The sequence below is a fragment of the Homo sapiens genome, chromosome 1, assembly GCF_000001405.40.
Source record: "Homo sapiens chromosome 1, GRCh38.p14 Primary Assembly".
Lineage (NCBI taxonomy): Eukaryota > Metazoa > Chordata > Mammalia > Primates > Hominidae > Homo > Homo sapiens.
The window spans coordinates 118,930,161-118,957,150 of record NC_000001.11 but is presented as its reverse complement, the minus strand read 5'-3'; the positions used below and the strand labels follow the sequence as shown (position 1 = coordinate 118,957,150).

General features: G+C 39.8%; 1 protein-coding gene across 8 annotated transcripts in view; it reads left to right on the top strand.

Moving 5' to 3' along the window:
- Nucleotides 1–26,990, top strand: part of TBX15 (T-box transcription factor 15) — a 106,464-nt gene that overhangs the window by 32,360 nt on the left and 47,114 nt on the right. For 7 of the 8 annotated variants that reach the window (NM_152380.3, XM_047429138.1, XM_047429131.1 and 4 more), the window contains one exon: nt 25,319–25,532. In NM_152380.3, the coding sequence (NP_689593.2) occupies nt 25,432–25,532 (101 nt within the window). In that variant the 5' untranslated portion in view covers nt 25,319–25,431. Of the gene's footprint in view, nt 1–12,447; nt 12,668–25,318; nt 25,533–26,990 lie in introns of those variants that run through there. The other variant, XM_047429137.1, reaches the window with a different exon arrangement.

The window sequence follows — 26,990 nt, the reverse complement described above, 5'->3', positions numbered from 1 at the left end:
ATTACAATAATTAGTTAAATATAACATTCAGTAGCCAAGTATAATTTTCTAAATTTCTCACAGGAATGGAGGTAGGCAGGAACTAGAGAACCCATTCGGAATCTTCAGCTTTGTTAGGCTGAATGTTCTTTTGTTGTGACTTCTGTAATCTTGAAGTGTTAGTGGATTTAATCTATTTTTTTTTTTTTGAGATGGAGTCTCGCTCTGTTGCCCAGGCTGGAGTGCAGTGGTGCGATGTCGGCTCACTGCAAACTCCGCCTCCCGGGTTCATGCCATTCTCCTGCATCAGCCTCCTGAGTAGCTGGGACTACAGGCGCCCACCACCATGCCTGGCTAATTTCCGGCTAATTTTTTTTTTTTTTAGTAGAAACGGGGTTTCACCGTGTTAGCCAGGATGGTCTCGATCTCCTGACCTCGTGATCTTCCCACTTCGGCCTCCCAAAGTGCTGGGATTACAGGCATGAGCCACTGCGCCCGGCCAGATTTAATCTATTTTTAAAAGACTATGAATATCTTTCAGCTCTCTGATGATGTGGTTATTTTTTCAAAATTGTTGGGATGATTTTCCAAAATGATTAAACATTCTTGAACTTTTAATTCTGATGTAATTTTAAGTTTACAGAAAATTTACAGCAACTATTAGAAGGAACTCCTTCATGTATACCCTTTACACAGTTTCACAAATTGTTTATATTTTGCTCCATTTGCCATCTCTGTGTGTGTTTTTGTATAAACATTTATATATAAATACCTAACTTTTTTCTGAACTATTTGTTAGTAAACTGGAGACGCATGCATTGATACGATCTGTTATTTAACCCAGTTGGTATTTACATTTTACCATTTGTCCTAATATCCAGTACTAGTATTTTTTTTTCCTAATCTAAGATCTAATTCAAGATTATTGTCTTAGTCTGCTCAGACTGCTAGAAAAAAATACCATGAACTGAGTAGCTTATAAACAGAAATTTATTTCTAACAGTTCTGAAGGCTGGGAAGTCCAAGATCAAGGTGGTGGAAGATTTGGGGTTTGGTGTCTGGTGAGGGCCTGCTTCCTGATTCATAGATAGCACCTTCTAGCTGTGTCCCCATGTGGTAGAAGGGGCGAGGTCACTTTCTGGGGCCTCTTTTATAAGGGGCACTAATCCTATTAATTAGAGATCTTCAAGGAGATTATGGATGGAGAAGCCAGGCATGACCCACAGCTCATAACCGTTAGGATGAGAGGTCTTTGAAGACCTAGGATAAACTCTGTGCTCATTTACCTTGCCTGGAAGGATAACTATTTGGTAGACGATCTTTTATACCTGAACTATAAATCTCCATGAGGCACACATAGGGAAGAGTGGGCTGTTGTAACTAATCCTTGGGTCTTACTAAATTTCCATATACAAGCATTCCATAAACTCTAGAATAGGGTCAGGGAATTGAAACAGAAGAGGATGACCTTATGTGATTCCCTGCCTTTTTTCACTTTCTAATGGCCCTAGAGCAGGGAGTTCTTACTCTTTGTAAAATGACTCTGAGAGTTCTTTTTCTAGACTCTAGCGGAAAATGTCTTGACTCGCAGAAAAGCAGACCAAGGTTTTCTTCTGGCTGAATAGTTTTGTATTTCCACACTGTCTACACACTAGATTGTAAAAGCCTTGGGAGCAGGGCCCTGAATTATTCTTATTAGCATCCCCCATTATTCATTGATTGATTGGTTTTCTGAAACAACACCAAATGCTTTGGGATATGTGAGATGGGAGATATAGTGAGATGCTGACTTGTGTATAAGTATAAAGTTTTTCTGTGTTAGTTTAATCTTATAACCTTGGGTGGTTCTGGAGTTTCCCTTGTATGAGCAAAATCACTATAGCAGTTCCAGACTTCACTTTTCCTAAACATCCATTTTTTTTTTTAATCACATTGTTCATATTTAAAGGGCAGATGGCATTTTAAAAGAAGGGAGCTTCTACATATTTAAAAGCCCCTTTTAGATAAAAATAAACCTGTGGGCTAACTGATCTTCCATGGTGAGGTATAGGCAAACTTAGGGCAGGGGAGGCCTTCTTGGCAAGCCTAAAGTGATGCCATGTAGGTGACTCCTATGCCACCCATGAAGAGGGATTCTGGAAAGGTGGCTTACATTCTTCACACTCCCTTTGTGGGTCTCACTCTTGGGCCTGATGAAGCCTGAAGCTTGACATATTGTAATTCTGCTAGCCAAGGAGGTGCTTGGGACTCTTCCCTCTTTATGGTGGGGATAGGCTCTGAAGGAACTTGAGGGGTATGCTCAACAAGGGCCTATAAAATCATGCAGTGCTTCCAGCTGAGATGCCTGTGTGCATCAGTTGTGGATACCAACATTTGGATTAGGGAAATCCCCCAACCTGGAATGAATATCGGGTTGAGTTATTAATCCCAGAAATATTTCCTGTCTTTGAGATTGGCTGGCAGGCCATTCTTGCCTTAATTTAAAGGGTCAGATTTTCCCGAAAGCAGTTGAGCTCCCTTGCTATTTTGGGTAATCATCTCTCCACACACATATGGTTAATCAGGAGTTGGAGCATAGTGAACTTTATTGACTTTGTCCTGTGCCTGAATCAGGATCTCTTCCTTGGCCAAGTGAATGCTCTTGATGAGTTTGCCTCCTTCTGTGATCCTGTTGTAGGGCTTTTGATTAGACATTGCTGTATGTAATCCACTCTCAAGTTGACAAGCATTCCTCCACGTAAAGATAAGATCTGGCTCATGATAGATGATGACTCTTTTCCTGAGATCTCCTGGGGATAGGCTGGTGCTTTTAGAACTGCCTTGTGCCTTGATCTTAATTTATCTGTTGTATTCAATATCATTGGAAGCCAGGAAAAGGCCAAATACCTGACCTCTGGTCCAGGGCTGTGATATGCCACCCACTCCAAGCTTCCTTTGATCCTTGCTTTGCCCAGCCAAGCAGGGAAACTCCTTAGCTTTCCTTGGTCTCCAGAGGTCCATCTGACTGTTGATTTGCGATATTTAGTCTTCCTATTACAGTTTGATTTGATTATGTGTTGGGGAAGAAGAAAGCTTTGACAGCCCCTGGAAAGTAGCTATTTAGAATGGTGCTCTTCCAAGTGTCCATGTGAAGATTAGTGTTTCTCCCATGACCACCTGGCTGTCATGTGACAAATCTTGAGGGATAGAACCTTGGCTTTATTTGGTCTGGCCTGGTTATAAGAACTTAGAAGGGTAGGCAAAGGACACTATAGGTAGCTCACAATATTCTCGTTAAGTTCACTGCCTCCTCAAATAAAGACAACTCCTTGACTGTTCATTTCAGACTGTTCATTAAAACTAATTCAGATCTGCTGAAATAATGTCTACCTTTGTAGGGGGCAAAAGAACATTCATCAAAAAATTTCACATAGTGAAGAGAATTGTTCACTTTCTTGAGAGTGAAAACCAATAAACTTAAAAAAAGAAAAAACTTGGAACAATCCTGTGTATAAAGTGTTGGTACTGGGTTAGGAAGACATGGGTTTCAGATAATTCCCATATGTGTAACATCAAACATATTATAGGCACATGGCCCTTCTCATCTCACTTCCATTCCCATCTGAAATATTATTTTGTAAGCTGTGGAATAATGAAATTTCACTTTAAAATGTGTTTTATAATTGGAATTTTGAGTGTCATTCTTACCTTTCTTTCTAATTGGAGTGAGGCTCTGAGGATCCCAAGGCCCAGAGTGGGAGGTTGGGAATGAGTGAAACAGTGGAGACCCCATGTTTCTCTTGGGGATGTGGAGCAGTTGGAATTCGCCAAGATTCTATTTAATCTCTTCTTATTTGTACATTCTATTTTGTATTTATTCTATGTCTTGTATTTTACGTTTGGTTGGCTAAGTCAGGTGTTATAAGGGTTAAAATAAAAAGTAGCATTTAGAATGAATTAAATTCCAGTGACTCATTTATGAGGGTTAGGTTCAGAGGACAACCTAAGAAATCACTAGTGTGAAAAAATACCAGTGGCCTTAATTAATTTAGTCACAAAAGCAAATCTTAAAGAGAATACTGTTAGTTGGCCACAGGTGTATTTTTTTTTTTTCAGAAACTATTCCTTGGCAACATGGAAAAATGTCAGTATTGGGTTTATACATTTAAAAAACATGAAGTGCCTCTCTTTCCTCCAGCCATCTTTTCCTATTTCTATTCTGCTTTAAGAAGCCTGAGCTGTGGGTGGATCTAAATATGAGATGCACCATTCCTTCAAGTGCTAAAGGCACTTGGCTGACAACAGTTTTTCCTGGTGGTTTCCTGTACTTCATTTTCTGAGATAGCAGAATTTCAAGTAAAATAAATACTTGATTTCTGTCTCTTGTGGCTCCTAGTGTAGTTTCTTGGCCAAGGAAAAAGTCCTTATTAGCTTTCTGAGTCAAAGAGTTACTATTATTTATTGGTCAAAACTACTATGGCTAGCCCCCTTGGGAAGTTTAGCCATACTTTATGCAGGTGCCTAGTCTGGGCCTCTGTAGGTATTTAGAGCTATGTTAGGGCAGACTGCCCAGGAGAAGGAGGGATTAGACATCGGGAACTGATGGTTGGCCCAGGATTGTAAAATGTCTTATAAAAAAAGAGGGCATAAGACTGTTGACACTCAGTGAGGGCACTGAGTGAGATGAGAACCCACACTTAAAATAATTGAGAATTTAGAGTCTTGGTTTGAATCTAAAGACATGGTTGGTTTTAAGGACAGAAAATTATTTTTTTTCTAAATTTTTCTTTCTGTATTATTGACCCTTGAAAAATGTGAGGGTTGTGGTGCTGACTCCCTATGTAGCCAAAAATCTCGATATAACTTCCGATTTTCCCAAAACTTAACTGCTATAGCCTATTGTTGACTGGAAGCCTTACCAGTAACATAAATAGCTGGTTAATACATATTTTGTACATGTATTATATACTATATTCTTACAATAAGGTAAGCTAGAGAGAAGAAAATGTTAAGAAAACCTCATGGAAGAGAAAATATATTTACTGTTCATTAAGTGGCCGTGGATTATCACAGGCCTTCATCCTTATTGTTTTCACATTGAGTAGCTGAAGAGGAGGAGGAAGAGGAGGGGTTGGTTTTGCTGTCTCAGGGGTGACAAAGGCAAAAGAAGATCTACATATAAGTGGACCTGCACAGTTCAAATCCTTGGTGTTCTAGGGTCAAGTGTACTTATATCAACTTCAACTGCAGCCCTACATTCCTGCCAGCTGAAGGCATGGATAGAGAGTCACATTCAGATTTTGAACACTGGCAGGAGCAGGGCCCTCCCACCCTTGCCCAGGGATGGCACAGGGAAGAGACATAACCTTGTTGGGGCTGTAGCTGTGGAGAAGCAGTGAGGCCCAGATAGGGCTGGGACACTAACATCAAGTTGGTGACCTTTTGAGTGTGTGGTGCAAATTGGCAGATATAGGAGCAGGAAGCAATTCTGGCCCAGGTTAATGGTGACCTTTAGGTTTTGCCACTTGGAATCAGGAACAATAAGATGTTGCAACTGAGGGCATGAGGCAAAGTAGAAAAAGGCACCTGTGGTTGCAGCAGGTGACCTTTAAAAATTGCCAAGAAGAGCTAAGGAACCATTTGGAGACCTTGCCAACAAGAGAGGAAGGACCAGGGTTCTGGGTCTCCACATATCTCCTGCCTCTCCTGCCCTGGGCTCAGAGCCAATGACTATTATTGTTACTCAAAACCCCTCCACTGGACTTTCTCCAGCTGCGAGAAGTAGGGGTGGCATAGGTTATCTCTATTTCTTAGGAGAGAGTTGTCGTTGCTTCTTATTCTGGGAATTGCATGTTAGCTGCTACCTTGTGTATCCCAAGAATTTAGAATGCTGAGCCAATTAGGGGAAATGTCTTCTACATTGGGAGGTAAACTCCTTTCTCATGATTTTGTTATCCTTTTGACAGTTGGAGTTTGAACATTTCTGGTCTCTGGATAAAAGGAATCTTTTTTCTCCTGTCAAGGAAATTTATTTCAAGCCAGGTATTTTATGACATTGAAGATGTAGTCATAGTTTGTAGTTTGTTTTCTGTAATATCCTATTCTTTTTATAGATAGCTACATGGCATCTGAATTGTGTAATGATTCTATCTTTTCTTAAAACTTTAAATTTGTTGCAGTATGAAAATTGTTCTTCTGCATTGCTCTTTTGGGGGCAGTAGATGCCAGTGTCTTTTCGGAGTGCACAGTGGCATGTTGGACTTTTTTCTTTTAGCACCACTGCCTCATTTGGTAAGGAACCAAGATGACATGGTGATGTTTGGACTGACCCAGCTGATCCTTCGATGAGAACTGTGAGGCATATTGTGCTTTTATACTGGCAAGCTTGAGAACTGAAGCTGGTTTTTTTCTTCCTTTTTTGTGATGGTCTTTGAAACATAGCTGACATTCTGAGTTAAGCTTTCCTATTAGAGAATAATAAAGGCCCATACTTGACAAGGTATGAATATCAGATGTTCATTTAAGAAACAGAACAGCAACAACAAAACCACATGAGAGGTCAGGCAGCTCAGTCCACTACCACTTCAACAGGCTTTTCTGGGAAGGCCGCAGCCTGGCCCTGTACTTGGAGTTTGCTCTCAGGGAAGGTGCTTGTATATTTTCAGCTGCTATTGGGAGATACTTTAATGGTCCAACATGGCTCTTGTCCTCATTTAAACTATGTTTAAGGCCAAAGATGAGACCACATCAAGTGGCCTCTGCCCCAAGGATGCATGAAGAAAGAGCTCCTCTTTATGTCAGTGAGTCTTGGCTCAGCATGAGCTGGCTTCATCTTGGATTCTGCATCCTCAATCCTGTCTTTGTCTCTTCTCAGTGAAGCACAAGTCAGACAAGAGCCTGTCCCAATGAAGCCAGAGGCCTCAAAGCAGCAGAGAAGTCTCTCCTCCAGAAGCCACATATGCCTAAACCCTAAGAGTATATGACTATTACCATGAAGAGGGGGTTCCTTCTGCCACTGAAGAGCAGTCTTTTACAATTTCTTCCTTCATCCTCCCTATTTGCTTCTCTGAGCTGTGTCATGTAGCCAGAATTTTATCAAGTTAAAAGCAAGGTATTTATTGTGTGCCCATGCTAGGAGCTGGTTTTTCAAGCCAGATAGTAGGAGATTATTTTAAATGCAAATGTATCTCAGGGACCACAGAAGGGAAATAAGTACTGTCTTGGAGAATCTGGATTGGATGATGGCTACAACTATGGATCACATAAAAGAAGTTTAAAACTATTCTTTCTTTAAGGTTGTTTTGAGATTTTTGTGAAACTCACTGAGAGATCCAGAGACAACCTGAATAGTGGGTCATGGGTTCAAATTGTTTGTATTTTTCTCCCATTTTCTCCCAGTTCTCGGGGTCCTAGCAATCTGGACCATCTTAAGCCATTGAACCAGTGCTGATGGAAAGGCAGGAAAAGTAGCAGCTCTTTCTCTTATCCTCAGACTCAAGGGCCTCAGCTAAGAGGCCTCACGGCCAGGTCCCTGCCAAGGACATTGGGTTTCTTGAGTGACTTGATCACACGCTGATGTTTCAAGGCTGGGTGCTCCCCAGCTGGAGCCCTGAAAATGCTTGTGTGACATCCTTGGAGAAGGAAACAAACTTGAAAGAAACTCCCACAAAGTAAATCACCAGGACTGGATGGTTTTCATCCAAGAGTTGGGGAGGAAATGAAGTGTGAAATAGCACAGATACTGATGAAGACATTAGTTCTCCATTAAAACCACAACTGTGTCAGAGCAGAGGAAGTTTGCTAACATGATGACCTTATTTCTAGAGGGGAGAGATTAGTGGCCTCTCAGATGCCTCTGGAAAATCTGGGCCACTTGGAAAGAATAACATAAAATATGAACAATGACACAATAGCTTTTATTTCCTGAAAGCATGTAAGAGGGATATTGTGACAATTCATGCACAGCAGCATTCCAGTAGAAGCCTTAGAAATAATATGATAATAAATATGTAATGCATATGCTGCTATTCCTGACTCCTGTGTCCATGAAACACATCACTAATCAATCTGGTACTCTTCCCTATGAGCTTGGATTGGGCCTCATGCTTCTGAATTTCAAGCTCTCAAATGCCACATTCAAATGGCTAGAGCTGACATGCATGTTGAAACTCATTTGCTCTCCCTTCCTAAGAGGATATATTTTATCCTGGTCCACACTGACTCATAATTAAATTGTAAATAATGGCAAGAAAGAGGTCTTTCACAGGCAGTTTAGGAGCATGATAAGAAACATGTTGCGTTTTTTCTTCTAAGGACCAAGTTAGCAGAATATTTATCTCTAATTTAGTAATATTTATCTTGTGCAAACTGAATTCAGATGTGTAATCACAACTCAAACCATGGTAGGGTCTTTCTGGAGGGAAGAAAAGTCACTTTCTCTGAGGCAACAAGCAGCATGTTTCACAAGATCATTTTGAGAAATGAGAATCAATAGCAAGATCTTTTACTAGGTGTTTCTTTGTGAAGTTGAAAAACAGTTGCAAACATTGAGTCCTGCCACAACAGTGACTCTGTGGGGTAAAGGCAAAGTGAGGTATGCTTTGAGAGAAGAATTGCACTGAGGCCCAGAGGGGAAAAGAGCCAGGCAGGTTGGACCCTAGAGAAGTTGAGCAACTTTATGTAAAACCTGAGGTTTCTTTGGGACTAGCTTTTGTTTTAGGAGGGAGCAGAAGGCCAGCTCTGCTGGTGGTCTCAGAATCCCACAGGACCAGTCCCTGGAACATTTTGCCATTGGATTGAGCAAAGCCTTCTTTTGCTGAAAATAATTAGAGCAATTTGGCCATACTAATTATCCTGCAGCCTAGTGGCCTCTGTGTAAGAGGATATGTGATAGAGCCAATCTCTCGGTGTGGACTGTAAACTGACCTTTTAAAGATGTTATCTGTCTGCCCCCATTATAAAATGGGTTATTTTGCTTGATCAGTGAAAAGTTGCTACGTATGTCTCTTAACAGAGAATCAGAATATAGGAAAAGGCACTTAGCATAATAGAGACCCTGACTGTACTGTGACTCTTCACTGAGTCACCACTGGGGAGATGGTCAGATGCTATGCTTCAGAAACCAAAAGAACAAATGGGGTCCATTGGTCAGCACACTTGGCTGCTAGTTCCCTACCACCACAAGATAACTCATGACCTTGCTCGCATTTTGCAGAATCACAGATCATGGAACAAGATGCTGGGTAGGTCATTTTGTCTAGATCTTTGTCTCATAGGAGCAAGCAGTTAACGTCTCCATTTTAAAAATGAGGCAATAGTTGCTCAGCAAGAGTAAATGAAGTACTGCTGCTGGGGGAGGCATGGACCAGTTTGAGGAGAGAACCCAGGCTCTCAGCAAGCAGGTCTTCTCACTTCACCACTTTGCTTCACCGAGTCTCAGTTTCCTCATCTCTAATGGGCACTGCAAGTATGGATTAAGCATGGTATTTAGAGCACATTGAGAAATCTCTGCAGGGTGAATGATTAAATGTAATGCTGATAAGTTACATTTTTATATGGCACTTTATAATTTACAAAGTGCTTTCCTCTGCATTGTTTTATTTTGCTGGTGCCTCATTGAGTTGCGTAAGCAGTAGGATTCCTTCTCCACTTCTCACAGATGTGTCAACTGAGGCACCACAGGGTTAAATGGCTCCTCAAGATCATATCTCTAGGTAGAGTCAGAATCAGGACTCACACTCTTGCTTTCTGATTCCAAACCAGGACTAACACTCCTACCTTCTGATTCTGAATCCAGAGTTCCTTTCACCATAAAATGACAAATAATGCAGTTGACTGTATTTATTATTCACTTTAATGACAGCAGAGTCTTCAGTGTCACAGTGTGGTAAAAATAGATGTTTAGCTGGGAGGACCAGGAGGTTCTTGGTAGCAGACAAACTGAGCTCACCAAAATGTTCTTCTCATGGGCAGGCTCCATTGCCATGGCCTTTAGGAAAGCCTTGGCAGGCCTACCTGGGGCAGCCTCACTTACTCACTGTGTCCAGCTTTCCCTGTGGAGCTGCCTCTCAACCCCAGTGCCAGATGCAGACATTGCCTTAGAGGACATGAGGTGGAGGGATTTCTTCTGAGATACAGGGACCACTGCCTAAGAGCACATCCCCAGTGAGGGGATTGGACTGCAAGTCCCGCAACAGCAGACTTGCTGTGCAGACTTTTGGCACACATAAGGAGAAAGAACCTGGTAAGCTTGGGGTTCCTGTGCCACTAATGTTTTCCTGGGAGATAGGGGAAAAGAGAACCAGAGTAAAAGCAGCAAGACCAAAGGAAAAGCCACGTTTTCATTCACTCAAAAATAATTTATAATTCATCTACTTTCCCCAAGTAAGTAGGTGAATATGGATTATAATTTATCCAACTTATATATATGTGTATGTGTGGTTAAAATAAAGATCAATGGAAAATAGGGAATCATACAGAGAAAGCAAGATGGTCTCAGGTGGCCATTTTAATACTCATTACTACATAGAGAAACACAATCCCTTCCTCTTCATAATAAAGATAAAATATATTTTTATTAAGATGCACCATTAGTAATCTGTGTCATATTCTTTTGAATCTTTTTCATTGTAAATATCTGGCTGAGGGAAAAAGCATTTTGTTACAGCAGAATAGAGCTTGGAAAGATGGATGTTTATTACACTTGAAGAAAACCTATCAAACCAGTGTAGTCCTTAAGGCCTTTTAAAGTCATAGATTCCTTTGAGAATCTCATAAATCCCATGCATCCTTGCCCCAGAAAAGCACACAAGCTTTTGCAAATTTAACTTATCATTTTAGGTGACTTGTAAACCTCCAAAGCTTGTCCATTGACTTTAGGTTAATAACCTCTTCATTTAAATAATTAGAAGTCAATATTTTATATAATAAATTTTTTCTTTATAAAAATATTCATCTCAAACTATGACTGTAGTTAAAATGTACAAGTATAGCAAGTGTCATATAAAATATTCTGATATCTATGAAATTTCCTAGCCTATAGCATTTGTATTTTAAACTTGTACTCATTGCACATTCACTTATAGTTTTACTGTAGTCTTATTTTTTTAAAGATGCTATATATTGTATACTTTATTGTAATTTGCATTTGATAATACTTGTGTAGTACTTGGTATAAAAAGGGAAATCTGCCTTCACTCATACATCAATGTTGATTATATGTAGAATATGTATATAAAGTAATACTTTAATATATACAACAGCTCATACACCATCAATAAGATCCCATCCTCCAGACTTGTAAATTCTTGGAAAAAATTACTTCCACATGTTCCTAAAAGTACTTAAGGATTTTTGACTGGTTGGTGGACCATTGACTCTGAATATCTGACCTGTCAAAATGCCATCTTTAAACTCCAGTGATGCATAGAGGCTTGGAATTAGCCAGGGTTGAATTTATTACAGAACAAAGAGAGGTGATGATTAACACACCCATCTGAACAGTAGGGGGGGAAAATAATCCTTGAATGGATTAGATGCCATGATCCTAAAACCACATTCTCTGAGTGTTGGGTTCTTGCCCAGGAATGGGAGAGGCCAAACGTTGATGCCTTTTAAATGACAGGGTGTCTCCATGGAGCTCTGGTTAGGGACAGTGGGGTAGAGAGTTTGGGGTCAATTGAGAAAAAGCCTTTCTTTCTCCTGTGACCTATCAGATTGAGGACCTAGACCTGCTCTGTGTGCAGTAACCCTCAAAACTTACAGCCCACCTGATTAGTGTTATACAATTATCAGTCTGCCTGTCTAGGTGGAGATTAATGTGAATATGTAAATAAATGGACTTAATTTTTAACCACTAATCAGAGTTAACTTACAATTTTGGGGGGACTGTAGTATGCTGCTTTAAAGACTGGAATAAATGCTGCCAAAAAGATGAAATGAATTCTTATACACTGTCCCACTTAGTTGTGAAATAGACAGGCTCTCTCAATTCACTGGCAATGTCTGGTAGGTTCTGAACACTCCCAGGCTATGTTTTCAGGGAAATTTATCTTTGTAAGAATAGTCCATGAACAGAGTACTAAACCCATTTTCTGATTGACTTTCCTATTCTCCTCTCTTTCCCCTGCTACGTATTGCAAGCTTTCTAAAAAGTATGGATTTTTAAACAGCATTGTGTAATAGCATTGATGGAGATTGACTCTGAGAAGAGGCCTCCAACAGAAGGACACCATCCTAAGAAGGAAACAGGTCATCAGAGGAAAGTCATTTTGACCCCCATTCCCTGGGAAGAGGAGTGCTCGAATCGCAAGCCCAGGTGCTCAGGAAATCTCCTGTCACTGTGAGATGTGCTGGAACATGGTGCCATGTCCAAGCTTCTAAATACAGTTCAGGCTGGGTCATCATGACAGATGCTGAACTGGCACCACTGTGGGAATTGAAGTGGGAACTCTGACAGTGCTTAAATGCCATGGCCCCTGGGCTCAAAGTCTTCCTAGGCAGGGACAGGGAGAGGCAGGGCAGAGTCTTGTGGGGAGGAGGGTAGGAGCAACTTTGGCAAGGAAATCCTGCTGTCTCGGCGACACTGCCACTCTTTCAGAAGGCAACAGACACTCAACAACACACCAGCTATTTTGGAAGCTGTCAGTTTCTGAATTGCTGACACACTTGAAGGACACTGTCTCTTCAAGGGTCATTCTGACCCTTCAAGGTAGGTAGGCCTGGGGAAAAATAGAGCCTTGTTGAAGCCAAGATGTTGACCATGGAATGAGTGGAATTAAGTGACATGGTGAGGATGACTCAAGGAGTCGGGAATGGAGTTAAGAATAACATGTTCACTTTGCGATTCCCAAATCAGCCTTCTACACAGAAGACAGTGTAAGGCAATTCCTTACCTCACCCCACCCTCCTTTTCTTGGCCATCATAAAAAATCCATCCTGGGGTTAGCATCCTTTGATGACTCATTCCCTTTTGGGAAGAGCTTTAGAGGAAAAAGAAAGACAGGAGAGACTTGGGAGGAAGACTTTTCCTGGAGGGTCTGGGAAGTTGGGATGTGAGGGTGGGATTCTAAGTTTTGCAAGCATCTTAATCTGGGTTTGTTGAGTTGTAAATATAAAAACACTCAATGATTTCACTCTCAATGATTGCCTTGTGCCCCAAAAGTGAACTTCTTTCTGCCATCAAAGCATTTGATTTTAGGGTTTCTGAAGGTGGTGTGGGATGGTGGATGAGGTGAAGTTTTGAAATGGGAGAGACTTGGGTGCATTTGTTCTCTCTAATATTTCTGGGTGGGTGGCACTGGGCATGTTCCCTTGTATAAGTCTCAAAATAGGGTTAAAATGCCTACCTTTCAGGCCTCCTGCTCGTGCTCCCTGGGAGCCTCACCTAGGTACTAGATTTTTTTCTGCCTCCTCAGTGTGTTTTCCTTATCCTGAGCCAGGTGAGTGTTTCTGACAAGGCTATCCATCTGGAGTCAGGGCTTCCTGCAGCTTCCAAGCTCTGCCCTGTCATTTCCACCTCTCATGGAACAATGCCTTTGGGCAGCTTTTTCAGCCTCAGTTGCTATCTCTGCTTCTCTGTTCAAGGTGAGAGTTTGCTCCCTGGCCCATTTTCCTTACTGAAGACCCAATATACCTCTTTTCTTAGTGATCTACCCTTTTCTCTCTTCTTTTAGACCTTATCACTTTCTTTCTCAGATATTGTGCCAGCCATTATGGACCAAGAGAGCATCACTCAAGCAGACCCACTCAAAAGCAGGCTTCCTTACATGGCATTTTCGTTGTTTCTTCTGCTTTTCCCTCTTTCTGCCTTTCCACCATTTCTCCTAACACCATTCAGTTTTGATAGTTTTGCCCTAGGCCCTGAAATATTTTCTTCATCATGTGATCTTTTCCCATTCTATATTTTACATTTTCTTTAGTGAGGTTTGCATTTATTCATTTGAAAGTCTTCTTTCTGTCTCTCTCATAGGGACAGGGAAGTGACTGAGAAAAGACTTAACGCATATGGTCATTTTCTGTTCCAAATGATGGAAACAATTTATATTAAGTATATTCCTATTGTGCGCCAGGGGCTTCACTGAGACACATGGTATCCACTATCTCCATTTTAGATGAAGAAATTGGCTCAGAAAGGTTAAGCAGCTTTCCCAGTCATAATCTGGGTCTGTGGAATTCTAAAGGAGGTTTGTAATCTTTTGCCTTACTTCTTAGCGACTCTGGAAACCCCACTTCACTGCAGACAACAGAGACACCAGATGTGTAGGGGACCTGGTGAGCACAGCAGTCATTCTGTTCCTGAAGGAGGAGGATATCTGTCTCACTACCTCTCCCTTAGCATTACTAGCTCTAGCATTTGTAGAACTTGATCCTTTCCCCATTTTATCCTCATGACTGTAAGCACCTTCTCTTCTTAGGTTAATGTGGAGGAGAGTTAGTATCTGAGTATTTTCTAGGTGTTTGACTGACTGCTTCTCACAGAAGTGACTGAACTCTTTGAACTCAGTTGAAACCCCTGAAAGATTTCGGGTCAGACCTCGCCACTCAGTTTGACACAGCTCACAGTCATGCAAGGAAAAGCTGGTAGGATTCCAATAGTTCAGGTTATGATGTCAGGAGGTGACCCTAGGACTTAATAGGGATTTCATTGGGAACATGTCATGCAATTAAGACACCTCATTACTAGGGATATATTTGTCTCCTGGAAGAAGATGAGAAGAATAGCATTCAAGATTCTTCATCTGGCTCCAGCCTACCCTCCCAGATCTTCTCTGGCTATATCTCTTCTCTTACTTTGCTAAACCTACAGCATTTCATTCATTAATTCATTCAACGAAAACATTTTATTGAGTGCATAATAGGTGCCAGACACTGTTCCAGGTGCTGAGGATACAAGAGGAATAACACAGATGTGGTCAGGATGACATAGATTGCTGCCCTCTAAATACATTTGGTAGATTTTATTGCCACGCCTCTGCCAGAAAATTCCCTTTTCCTAGAAACCCCTCTCTTTCTTCCCCATTTCTGCCTTTGCATCTCACAGACATATCTTCATTAGGCCCAGAAAAAATCCCTGGACTTGGAGAGATTTCTCTTACCTCTAAACTCCCATAGGATTTTGTTGCCATTTCTCTTAGATAATAATATCTGAAAATTAGCATTCGTATGTCTGGACCTTTTTTGTTGATGAAGTATTAATGCAAATACACATACACAGGCACCTTGTTAATAGTTCATAAAAGTTTCACAAAGTAGATACCAATGATATCCTCATTTTACAAATGATAAAACAAAGGCTTAAGAAGTTAAGTGACTTGCTTAAGGTTAGATGGTTGGAAAGAGGAGAGATGAGCTCAAGAACTCAGTCTTTTGGATCCTAAGCCCCAGCATGCTGTGTGCTATGGTGGATTTTGACTATTCTACTTTTATTAGACTTATTTATGGACCTATCCTCTCTCCCTAAATGATTGTATAAGCTCCTGAGGACATGGATCATCTCTTACTCAATTTTGTGCCCCTAATAACACCTCGTACATTGCCAGGCCCAGCCTAGAAAATGAATATTATTTGCTGAACGAATGAATGATTGATTGAATGGATGAATTTTGATTACTGGAGAGGTTGTTACATTGTTGTCAGCCATGTTATATTTACTAAACGGGATGGTTTTCTATGTTTGCATGGTGAGTTGGGTAGATTTTAAACTTGGAATAGTTGGTGGTCTCCTGGGATCATTTGAAGGGCATTCCTGGCTGTGCTCAAATGTTTATCCTACTTACATCTTTGAAACTGCCACCTCCAGAGGCACTCTCTCCAGAAGTCATAGTTAAATTACACTTGATGTTTAGAAATTGGCTTCTTAGTTCTTCCCCTTTAGTGCGTCATCATGAATTTGTTTATTTATTGGTGCTCAGTGGGAACATTCTAACAAGGTATAAAGCAAATGCTTGTAAGGCCTTTGGAGAAAGGCCCACTTTTCACATCATAGAAATTAAAAGACCATAATGGCAGATACACAATGGTGCTATGACAGTGGCTGATGTCGGAGGTGGTGGTGGGAGGTTGGAAGTGGTGGTTGCAAAGAGCAAATAAACATTGACTTGGGGATGAGATAATGTATCGCTTCACCCAGGAAAAATGCCAAGAGCCTTAGGATGGGGCCTGTGTTGATAGCTGCTCACCTGAAATTGGTAAATCTTGAAGACCACCCAGTTTATCAGAATGAACTTTTGAAGGACCTTTGGTGCAAGAGGTACTTAGGTTGAACATTTCCATGTGGCTTGTGGCCAATTTTTGATTATTCCATTTATGCACTGTCTGTGTGTTCATCACGAATATTTTCTAACCCAAAAGTTGGTCTCATAAATATTAATTTTGTGGGAAGAATAAAATAAAATATTTGAAATTTGAAATTAGGACTGTTTTAGAAAAGTCGGGGCCCATATTTGTCCTTTATTTATTTTTTTTTGTTTTTCTGATATGCTTGGTCATTGGCGTAGAATCTTATATGTTAATTTGACACTTTACTGTTTATGAAGTGCTTTCATATACATTATTATCAGCTGAATTCTCTTCAAACATAGATATCCACTTAGGACCATCAAAAACTTTTGGGTCCTGCACTCTGACTTGAGTTAAGCCTAAATAAACCAAATTCTGCACAAGTAGGGCCCACTTCAGTTGCCTTCTGTCTTTCAATGCTTCCATTAAAAATTTCTCAAAGCCCAAACATCTTCCAAGTACCTTGTAATGTTTTGCTTAATGGTCTAGGCTAAAGCAAAAGGGTGATTTGACATTGACAGTGATCTTCAGTGTCTGTCACATTTGGATCTTCTACCTAGGTTGGATTGGGGATAGGAAGTGAAATATAGCAAAAGAGGCCTTTTATAGTTGTACTTACTTACTAAATAATGTTAAGTTGATGAAGAGAGCTAAAATATTCCTGAATATAACTGCCCTTGTACTAACAGGGGAAAATTCCCATCAGACCTTCGTTTGAATTTTCCTTTCTCAAAAAACCGACAGTTTTAATTTCTGTAGCGCTACCTTCTGATTGAGCAGCCTGAGCGTTAACTCTGCATTTCTGAGTTCAGAGTAGGATGTGCACAGCTCTGCAGTTCTAGTTCTGAAAAATGGGCAACAGAGTATAATGAAAAGAGCATCAACTCTAGTGTCAGACTAATTCAATTCACACTCTGACACCTCCCATTTATATAATGTGAGACAAGCCTTTTATTCATGTCATGCCTCAGGTTTCTTATATATAAAATGGCAGCAATAATGCCTACTTTAAAGGTTTCTGTGAAAATTGTATGAGATAATAACGTACATAAAGTGCCTAATACAGTACTTGCTACTTCTCTTCCTTTTTTTCATTTCCAGCTTCAAAGCATGCTGGATCACTAGAGGTTGAAACTTTTGCATATTGTTCTAGGCTAAAGCAAAGTTTTTTTATAATTTCACCTTATACTTGAAATTTCAACTTTAAACAATTTTAACTTTTATTTTAGATCTAGGGGATACCTGTGCAGGTTTGTTACATGGGAATATTGCGTGATGCTGAGGTTTAGGGTATGAATCCCATCACGCAGGTAGTGAGCACAGTACCCTATAGGTACTTTTTCAACCCATGCCTCCCTCTTCCACCATCTAGCAGTCTTCAGTGTCTGTTGTTCCTGTATTTATGTCCATGTGTGCTAAATGTTTAGCTCTCACTTATAAAAGAACATGAGATATTTGGTTTTCTGTTCCTGTTTTTGTTTTTTTTTTTTTTTTTTTTTTTTTTTTTGAGACTAGATCTCATTCTGTTGCCCTGGCTGGAGTACAGTGATGCCATCACAGCTCACTGCAGCCTCGACCTTCCCAGGCTCAGGTGATCCTCCCATCTCAGTCTTCCAAGTAGCTAGGACTACAGGCACGTGCCATCATGCCTGGCTAATTTTTGGATTTTTAGTAGGGATAGGGCTTTGCCATGTTGCCCAGGCTGGTCTCAAACTCCTGGGCTCAAGCGATCTGCCTGCGTCAGCTTTCCAAAGTGCTAAGATTATAGGCATGAGCCATTAGGCCTGGCCTGCTCCTGCGTTAATTCACTTAGGATTATGGCCTCCAGCTGCATCCATGTTGCTGCGAAGGACATGATTTCATTCTTTTTTATGGTCGCATAGTATGCCATGGTATATATGTACCACATTTTCTTTATCCAATCTACTATTGATAGGCACCTGGGTTGATGCCATATCTTTGCTATTTTGAATAGTACAGCAATGAACATACAAATGCATGTGTCTTTTTGGTTAAATGCCTAATATACAGAATCTATAGGGAATGTAAACAAATCAATAAGCAAAAAGCAACCCCATTAAAAATGGACAAAGGACGTGAACAGACACTTCTCAAAAGAAGACATACAAGTGGACAATAAACATAGGAAAAAACCCTGAGCATCACTAATCAACAGAGAAATGCAAATCAAAGTCACAATGAGGTACTATCTCACACCAGTCAGAATGGCTATTATTAGAAAGAGAAGAAAACAAATGCTAGCAAGGCTGTGGAGAAAAGGGAATACTTATACACTGTTGGTGGGAATGCAAATTAATCCAGCCACTGTGGAGAGCAATCTGAATCTTTTTCAAATAACTTAAAACAGAGGTTGAAACTTTAATGGCATTGAGCCTTTGTCTGCTCAGCAAGAAACAGATATAAAAAATTACTACTACCACTTCTTTGCAAAGACTCTCTCAAAGGCTTTGTTCTCAGGATGACTTTGGGTCCTTGCTGTGGTTCTATGTATCGCTGAGAGAGGTGCTGCTTGTTAAGTGGAGAGTGCTGTAGGCAGTTGGTGAGATATGATGTGCCCTTAGTCTCCTTAATTGGCTTATTGGCATGGGAATTGCAAGCTTCAGGTTACTCCCTTTTCCCAAATAGAACTTGGAGGGCATGGAGAGCTCAGAGACACCATTCCATTACTAAAGCCATTTAACAGGCTCATTTGAGTGTTTGCTATCATCATAATTTTAGTTTAATCCATCCCGGGTTATAGTTCATTCCCTTGAAGCTCTGGACTGAGTATCAAATTTGGGCTCAGTTCGTACTCAGGTCAGTGCCAAATGCTCTGCTTCTGCCATATTTAGAGTTACTCTATGAAAAATTTCGTCACCAGCATTCTCTAAGATACTCGATAAAATCTGATAGCCCACAACCAATTTCCACTGCAGAGGTCCTCTGGAAATAGGAACTTACTTGCTCCTGGTACAGACAGGGCTGCCTGGGTTTTAAGATTCTGGTATTTGCCCTTCTGTGAATGGGAGCCCTGAGATAGTCATGAGAGTTTTGGTTTTAGAGACTTTGTGATTTATGAACTAGATCAAGAAGTGGCTGTCCTACCACTATCAGATAGGAAACACCATTCAATGTGGTTGTGTACCAGTATTTGGCAGAAAAGAAAGTAAGATGAATTGTCTATCATCCGGGTTGGGTTTTTCTCCTTTAATTGTTTCAAACTATTTTCTTCCTTGTGGAAAATATGACAGCTGAGCTCCAGTCTTACAGAAGTAACACTGTGCATCTAATCTCAGAGCATTCTACATCTCTTATCTGACTCTACAGTCAGCTTACACATTTCACATAGAAACCAGGCTATCTTGCATCATTCACACATGAGATGGGGCAAAGCATTAAACTGAGCTTATGGAATTCATAGTCTGGATAGAAGACAGAACTATCACTACCTGCACGTTAAAGAAAACTTTAGCATGTAGATGATAAAGTCTAAACTCCATATCCTGACACCCAAGATCTTCAGCCATAAATTTTTGTTTGTTCCCTGATGTCCCAAGAGTTTAGAAGAGTGACTGGCACATAGTAAATGTTCAATATGTAGTCATTTAGTTGAGTTGAACCTGACCTTCCACCTTCATCATTTATCTTACTTCTCCTCTACCTTTACATAATCTAAACTCTGACATACCAGTTTGTTTGTAATTCTCTGAAACTCCAAATCCTTAATCACTGTTATTCCCACTACCTGAAATTCTTTCTCCATCATTTTGTTGTTTGTTGGTTTCAAACTTCTATTTCAAGACCATATTCAAATGTTACCTCATAAAGTCTTCTCAATCCTCTCATCATTGACTTGCTTCCACTTCAAAGCTCCTCAACAATTTTCCCCACCTCTGCAGGCGTATCTGTCACAGTCAGCCTTCCTTAACAGTTTCTATGTCCTTTCTACCAAATTGTGAGCTCCTTCAGAACAAGAACCTGTTTTATTTGTCTTGGTCCATTAATATGTAACCTAGTCAAGGCAAAGCAGAAATATTTGGTGACATAAAAATTGAATTAAATGTAGTCTTCTGTGCTGGACATCCTTAGGCAGTAGAATGGATGTAACCTGGACTCTGGCATCAATAATGTATAAAATGGAGATAATAATAATAACAACTCTTAGGCTTGCCTGTACTAAGTGATGTTTTGCATGTACAGTCTTGGCAGAGTGCCTGACAAATAGTAAGAGCTCAATAATGTTGACCATTAACTCTTTGTGTTAGTTCTTGTGAGCTTATATTCATCTCCCTGTCCCAAGTCAATAATATTATTATCAATAGAACCATTACACTATGCTTTATCATAAATATATAACTTTTTTTAGCAGAAAGATATCTTATACCCCCACCCCCCATGGTAAAGATAAGGAAACTTAGGCCAAGTGAACCAAAGAAACTTTTAAAGATCCCACTGCTGATCAGTAGCAGAGCCACAGGAGTAAATGTGCTTTGTTCACTGCAGTAACGAATAATTCCTCAAAATTAACTGTTAAGTGGAGATGCCAAGACTGTAAAATATGCTTTTAAAATGTCTAATTTGGATATTAAGTTTTTATTAGACTAAAAGTGTATGCAATTTAGGCATTTTCTATGTATGGTAACCAAATGAACCTATTGTAGTTGGTTCGCTTTTGTTAGACTTGGTGGTCTCTAAGCTGTACTACTAATCCACCCATTAGACATTCAAGTTAAAAGGGACCTTATACACTTCCAATTAAATGTGCATGTGCTGTGCCATAAGGATTAAGGAAATTGGGGACCAGAATAGTCATGTGACTTGGCCAAGATCAAACATATTTAAGCCACCTTAGTTGTGAGGATGGTTAAAATAGTTAGGGGGTGTTACAGAGTTGCCAGCTGTTTTGGCTGGGTTGAACCTAGTGTGCTTTTGGGGAGATCTGACCATTGGATCAGGATGGAGAAGATGTGCATTCTAGTACATGTTAGTTTTCAATTTCTCTTGTTTCAGTGTCCTTGTCCACAAAATAGACATAAAAATACAAGCTATGTCTATCTTATCAATGGGAAGACAATATTAGGTAATGTGTAAAACATAAATTAAAAGTTCTTTTATTATTATTGCTAGAGTGAGAAGTGAACGTACTTTAAGCTAAACTCAACTTTCTGTGGGAACTTAGTGTTACAGCATTCATTTTATCAAAGTGAAATAGGTCAGAGATAGAAAGTAAAATGATGGTTAAAATATCTTTTTAAAGGATTTTTTTGGGGGGATGAGAATAGATATGTTGCTTTGGCCCTGTGAGTCACAAAATGTTCTCTAGTGACTTGTAACTGGCTCAGCGCAGGTTACTTAAGTTTTCTCCTTTAGCTGCCTTGGTTACATGTAACATTTTATGTTCCTGATTTACTTAAACTTCTTCTGTTGAAATACTATTCTGACAGTATCTGATAGCCAAGAAATCCTGCATCATTCATATGAGTTCCTAATGGCTATTTTTTGAGGACAGGAAGTCACAAATTGCCAAGAATAAATGACCTTGAAAACACAGAGGTGTTTTTTGATCTTTAAGGGACTGACTGATTATATTTCTAAATGGATGATCTGATTTGATTAAAATAACCAGCTGTGTGTTTCTTCCATGACTTAGATAACTTTATTATACATCCTAATTAATAGCTAAAAATTTTGATCTGGTTAGCCAAAATATTTTCTATAACTATGATTTAGAAATGTATTTTACAAAAGATTAAATTTTATTTTTACCTAGGCTGTTAATCTTGACTCTGAGATTACTATTTTAAGGGTTTTGTAGGGTTGCTTACCCCACGGGTGGCCCTAACCCTTCTAGAAGCTTTTTAAAAAGAGCATCTATAAAAGTAACAGTAACTTTATTTCAAGATTATAATATTTAAGAAACAATTGAGAATAGAAGATTGCATATGCATTCATGTTATTGAACATGTGGGCTGTTGCTTACATTCTTTATATAAAAGTCACTGGATCCTGTTTTGTGAGAGAGTGAAAATCTAGAAGTTCAGGGTATTTCCAGTTAAATAAATGTCTTTGAAAATCCTCTTCATGGACAAATACTGCCTATGCCTCCACAGACTTGCCCATTTCCTTTCTAGTAACAATGGGTTCCCCAGGAGTGTTCTAGCCCTCTTGGATCTCTTTCTCTTCTGGACTTCTAAGAGACATCTGAGACAGTATGTAATGGTGTGGAAAACTGTGTGGCAGTTATTTGTGTTGCTCTCTGATTATTTTTGAATGCTCATAGTCTCCACTGTACTGTACTTGAAGAGAGGTCCCATTGTGTACTTTGTTATTTCCCAGAATCTAGCACAGTGCTGGGCACATAGTAAGCACTCAATAAACACATAATTAATCAACACTAACTGGGAAATTTCTTAAGGTCTTGGATTCTGTTTCTAATTATCTGCATGGTACTTCATCTAAGGCCATATGCTGATAGGTGCTTATTGATTGATTTGATTGAAACTATAAACCCTTATAGAATACCCACTCAATTATTTAACTCCTATGGTAATGTGAATCTGAGCCCCCGGTCTTTTCCCTTATTTAACTTGTCTTGTTCAAAGAGTTTTAAATTTGATGTTTCTAATTGAGGTTACCTGGGTTAGCACTTGCACTGGGGAGGATTCTTACATTCAGGTCATTAGAGGTGTAATCCTTAAGTTCATTCTTTTTCATTGCACATTGAGGACCTAGGCCCCCCCTGTGGTTAAATGGCTTGTCTAAGGTTATTCATTAATTCATTTGATGTTACATTTTGAGTCCCTGTTTTGTTCCAGATGACATACTGAGTTAAGGGTAGAGTCTCTTATTTCATAATTCTCTAGCCGTAGTCCCAATTCCAATCTCAGCCTCAATTTAGCTACCATTAATACTTATCTCTTAGTGTAGTGATACCTTTCCTTCCCTTTTCCAGTTCCTAAACATACATTGGAGAAATCATATGTCCAAAATTTCTGTTGGGTCCTACTTAAGGTGTCTCTTTCCAATTTTTTGTAATTGTGGCACTTTATGGTGAATTTTGTAACTTTTTGCTTCCAAAAGCAGGACAATAATATATTTTAAAAATCTTTTTCTGAGGAGGTTTTTTGAAAAATTTACAGTATTCATGATAAGTGAGGAGCTCTTAAAATATCCCAGACACAAAATAGGATTTGGGAATCCATGTCTCAGGGGACATGAATTAGTGTGTTTGGCTGAGTGTGTGATGATATAATGGCTCTGCTACTGAAAGGCCTATAGAATCAGGCTAGGATATAGATTTGTCACTCAGCAACAGCTGTCATCTTAGATAAGTAGTTCTACTTTTCAGTGCTTGGAGAAGACCAAAAATAGCTGCTACTTAGTCCTAGGTATAAAATTATGTGCTTAGACATGTAAAACCTAGTTATAAAACTTTATAGTTTTTTTTTTTTGTGGGTGGGGGGCAGAGGGGGAGGGAGAATGAAGATAGTGACTACATCTTCATGTAGTGATTATGGGTAAACTGAAGTTTTTGGTCAGAAACTTCCCCTTTATTTAGAAGTTTGATTTGGTTCTTTAACAACCTGAATATCTTCACAAGTGACAGGTGAGGAATTAGGGAGATGGAGAGAAATGACACTTTTTCCCCTGTGGGCACTTTATTCCCTGTGGCTTTGACACAGCTGTTAGATATTCTTGCCAGAGATGCTGCCTGGGGTTGCAAGAGAAAAAAGTCAGTGACAAAAGGAAAGAAAAGTAAAGGAACAATGGGGTGTATCTTTCACAGGTCTGCAAACCTGCTGCAGGTAAGTGAGGTTGGCAGCAACGTGATTGGGCATTCTGTCCCATTCTTTTCCATCTTACTAGTGTCAAGGATTGATGCTCAAGAAGCTCTGACCCTTGACACCATTGAAAAGTCACTCATCAGAGTACAACACTTGTTTCCAGCCTTTACTCATGAATATATTTAACTCCAAGGAAAGCAATCAGAATTCTAGATGTTAAGGGTGGGTTAGAGAAATGGATTCTTAGGCTTGACTTGCAGCATCATTTGACCTAAGAAAATTATACTAGATAATCTGAATTTGAAAAATGTTAGGACACACAATTCTTGGCATTAAGCTCCTAAAGGTAAATATTTAAAATTCCAGTAAATCTTCCCGGGTAAATCTGGCTCTAGCCTTCTCCATCAGTCAGCTTCCCCTGCCCCCCAGCCCCACTTGTCTTCATGAGTACAGAAGACACAGGAAAGGACCATCTGGACCAGCATGCCAACTTTTTATTTGGTTGCTCTCAATCCCACCTTCCTGTTTGGATCACCCCTCCCCTCTGCCCATACTTCAGAAACCAATCAAGGTGTCTCCTGAACTCATTTATTCCCTTTGTTTCAACTGCCTTTTTGGGTAACTTTTTCCATATGCTTACATCCTTGACTCACAACAGAGGTTTTTTTCCCATCCAAAATGGCCTGATTAGACTCTTAGGAAAAACCATTTACTCAAATATATGACAAAGTACTTCTAAAGATCCCAAGCAGCTTTTCATTACTTTTGATGGCCATGGCTTATGTAAGTAGAGGAAAAATTTCTGTGTTTAAAAATAACTGACAGGCAGTGATGCTGAGTGGTATGGAATTGAAGAACATAATGTTTGCACTGAATCTTTACTTGCACAAATGTAATAGTCTAATCTAGGTTTGGACCTGTAATTTATAATTATTTTAGTTTAATATGGCATTTATTTTGTTGCCCCAGTTTGGCCTCATTCTCTTCAACATGGTGACATTAGTACTATTTATATTGCCTGTTGTGGACCAATTTTCTTCAGCTGTTGCTAAAACTTACTAAAATGCCAGATGTCATGTTGGAAACACGAAACCTGAAAGAAGGTCATAAATCACAAAAACAAACCATAAAAAATAATAAAATACCCTGAGTGCTGTGCTCTGGAGCTTCCCAGCTTTAAGTCTCCTTTTGTTTACCCCTCTCCCCACTTCATTGCATTTCCCACCCCCATCTTTTAGGGCCATGGGTGAGGGGAGCTCAGCAGTTTCTCACCTAAGGCTTGATTGTTTATTTTGCAGATTCTGAGCAGAGCACTGGTTCAGATTCTGAGGTCCTCACTGAGCGGACTTCCTGCTCCTTCAGTACTCACACTGACCTGGCCTCTGGTGCTGCAGGCCCTGTGCCTGCTGCCATGTCTTCCATGGAGGAGATTCAGGTGGAGCTGCAATGTGCTGACCTCTGGAAGCGGTTCCATGATATTGGAACTGAAATGATCATCACCAAAGCAGGCAGGTAAGGACAAATTCCTTTGAGTGGCCAGATTCAAAGAATTTGCAGAAGTAGGAGCCATTACATTCTTCCATTCTTATTTATTTGTGATGGCATCAACAAAACCAAAGCAGCTTGCACTCACTTCTCTGCATTTGGACATCTTGGTAAAGTTGTTCTGTTGTGTTTGTTGTGATTGTATTATTTTCCTCCAAGGGCCAATCAAATGTAAGTCATGTAAATCACAAACATTTTCCACCTACAAATGTATTTCAGCTAATATTGGAAGTCCATGGGATCTTAACAGCCAAAATATATATTTCCAAAGCAAGTGTTTACTTCACCATTAAATACTTTCAAGAAGTTTGCTTCCCAAATAACAACTTGCATCTTCTAAAGTATTTAAAGCAACAATGCTTTTGTAGTAATTTTTAAAAAAGAATTGACTTGATGCATATTCTGAGCCTGTTGATGTCCATTGTGTTTTATCATTGACTTGAAATTATTACACAACTTTATTGGTGACCTATGGAATTTCTTGTAAAACTGTTTTTCTAGGATTACAAAATTTTAAAAACACAGCTTCTCTTGATATAGACACTTTTAGTTAAGCTACTCCTTTATTGGTATGTTTCAACTTTCCATAGTTAAGTATTTATTTTGTGCTGGACACTCAACATACATCTTTGAAACTTACAGGAACCCTATGAGGTTGGACATAATCATCCCATATATGGATTAGGATGCAGAGGATGAAAGACATTAATTAGCTTGGCTAAGGCACATGGGTACTAAGAGGCAGCTCCAGAATTCTGCATAAATCTGTGTGGCTCTAAAACAGTGGTCTCAACTCTGAACTGTGAAGAAATGGCTGTAGTTCTTGCCCCTTGGATTCAAAATGAAACGATTTAGATAAAATTAAATTTGGGCCGGGCACGGTGGCTCACGCCTGTGATCCCAGCATTTTGGGAGGCCAAGGTGGGTGGATCACCTAAGGTCAGGAGTTCGAGACAAGCCTGGCCAACATGGCAAAACCCTGTCTCTTTTAAAGTTACAAAAATTACCTGGATGTGGTGATGGGTGCCTGTAATCCCTGCCACTTGGGAGGCTGAGGCAGGAGAATCGCTTGAAGCTGGGAGGCGGAGGTTGCAGTGAGCCAAGATCGTGCCGTTGCACTCCACCCTGGGTGAGAGAGCAAGACTCTGTCTCAAAAATAAATAAATAAACAAACAAATAAATAAATAAATACATTTGGACTAAGCTTTTCAGCATATAGGAATAGTTCATTGAAATTAAGCAAAACAGTTATGCTACTTTTGTGTTTTCAAAGCCAGTGTACATAATCTCACATGTCATGGGGAACAAAAATCGCATCTTACTGATTGTGAGCTGTTTTCATGAACATAGCCATTTAAAGTAAAATAATATTTTGGTTGGGTCCAGTTTATCTACGTGTATATAAGGAAACCTCCCAAAACAATA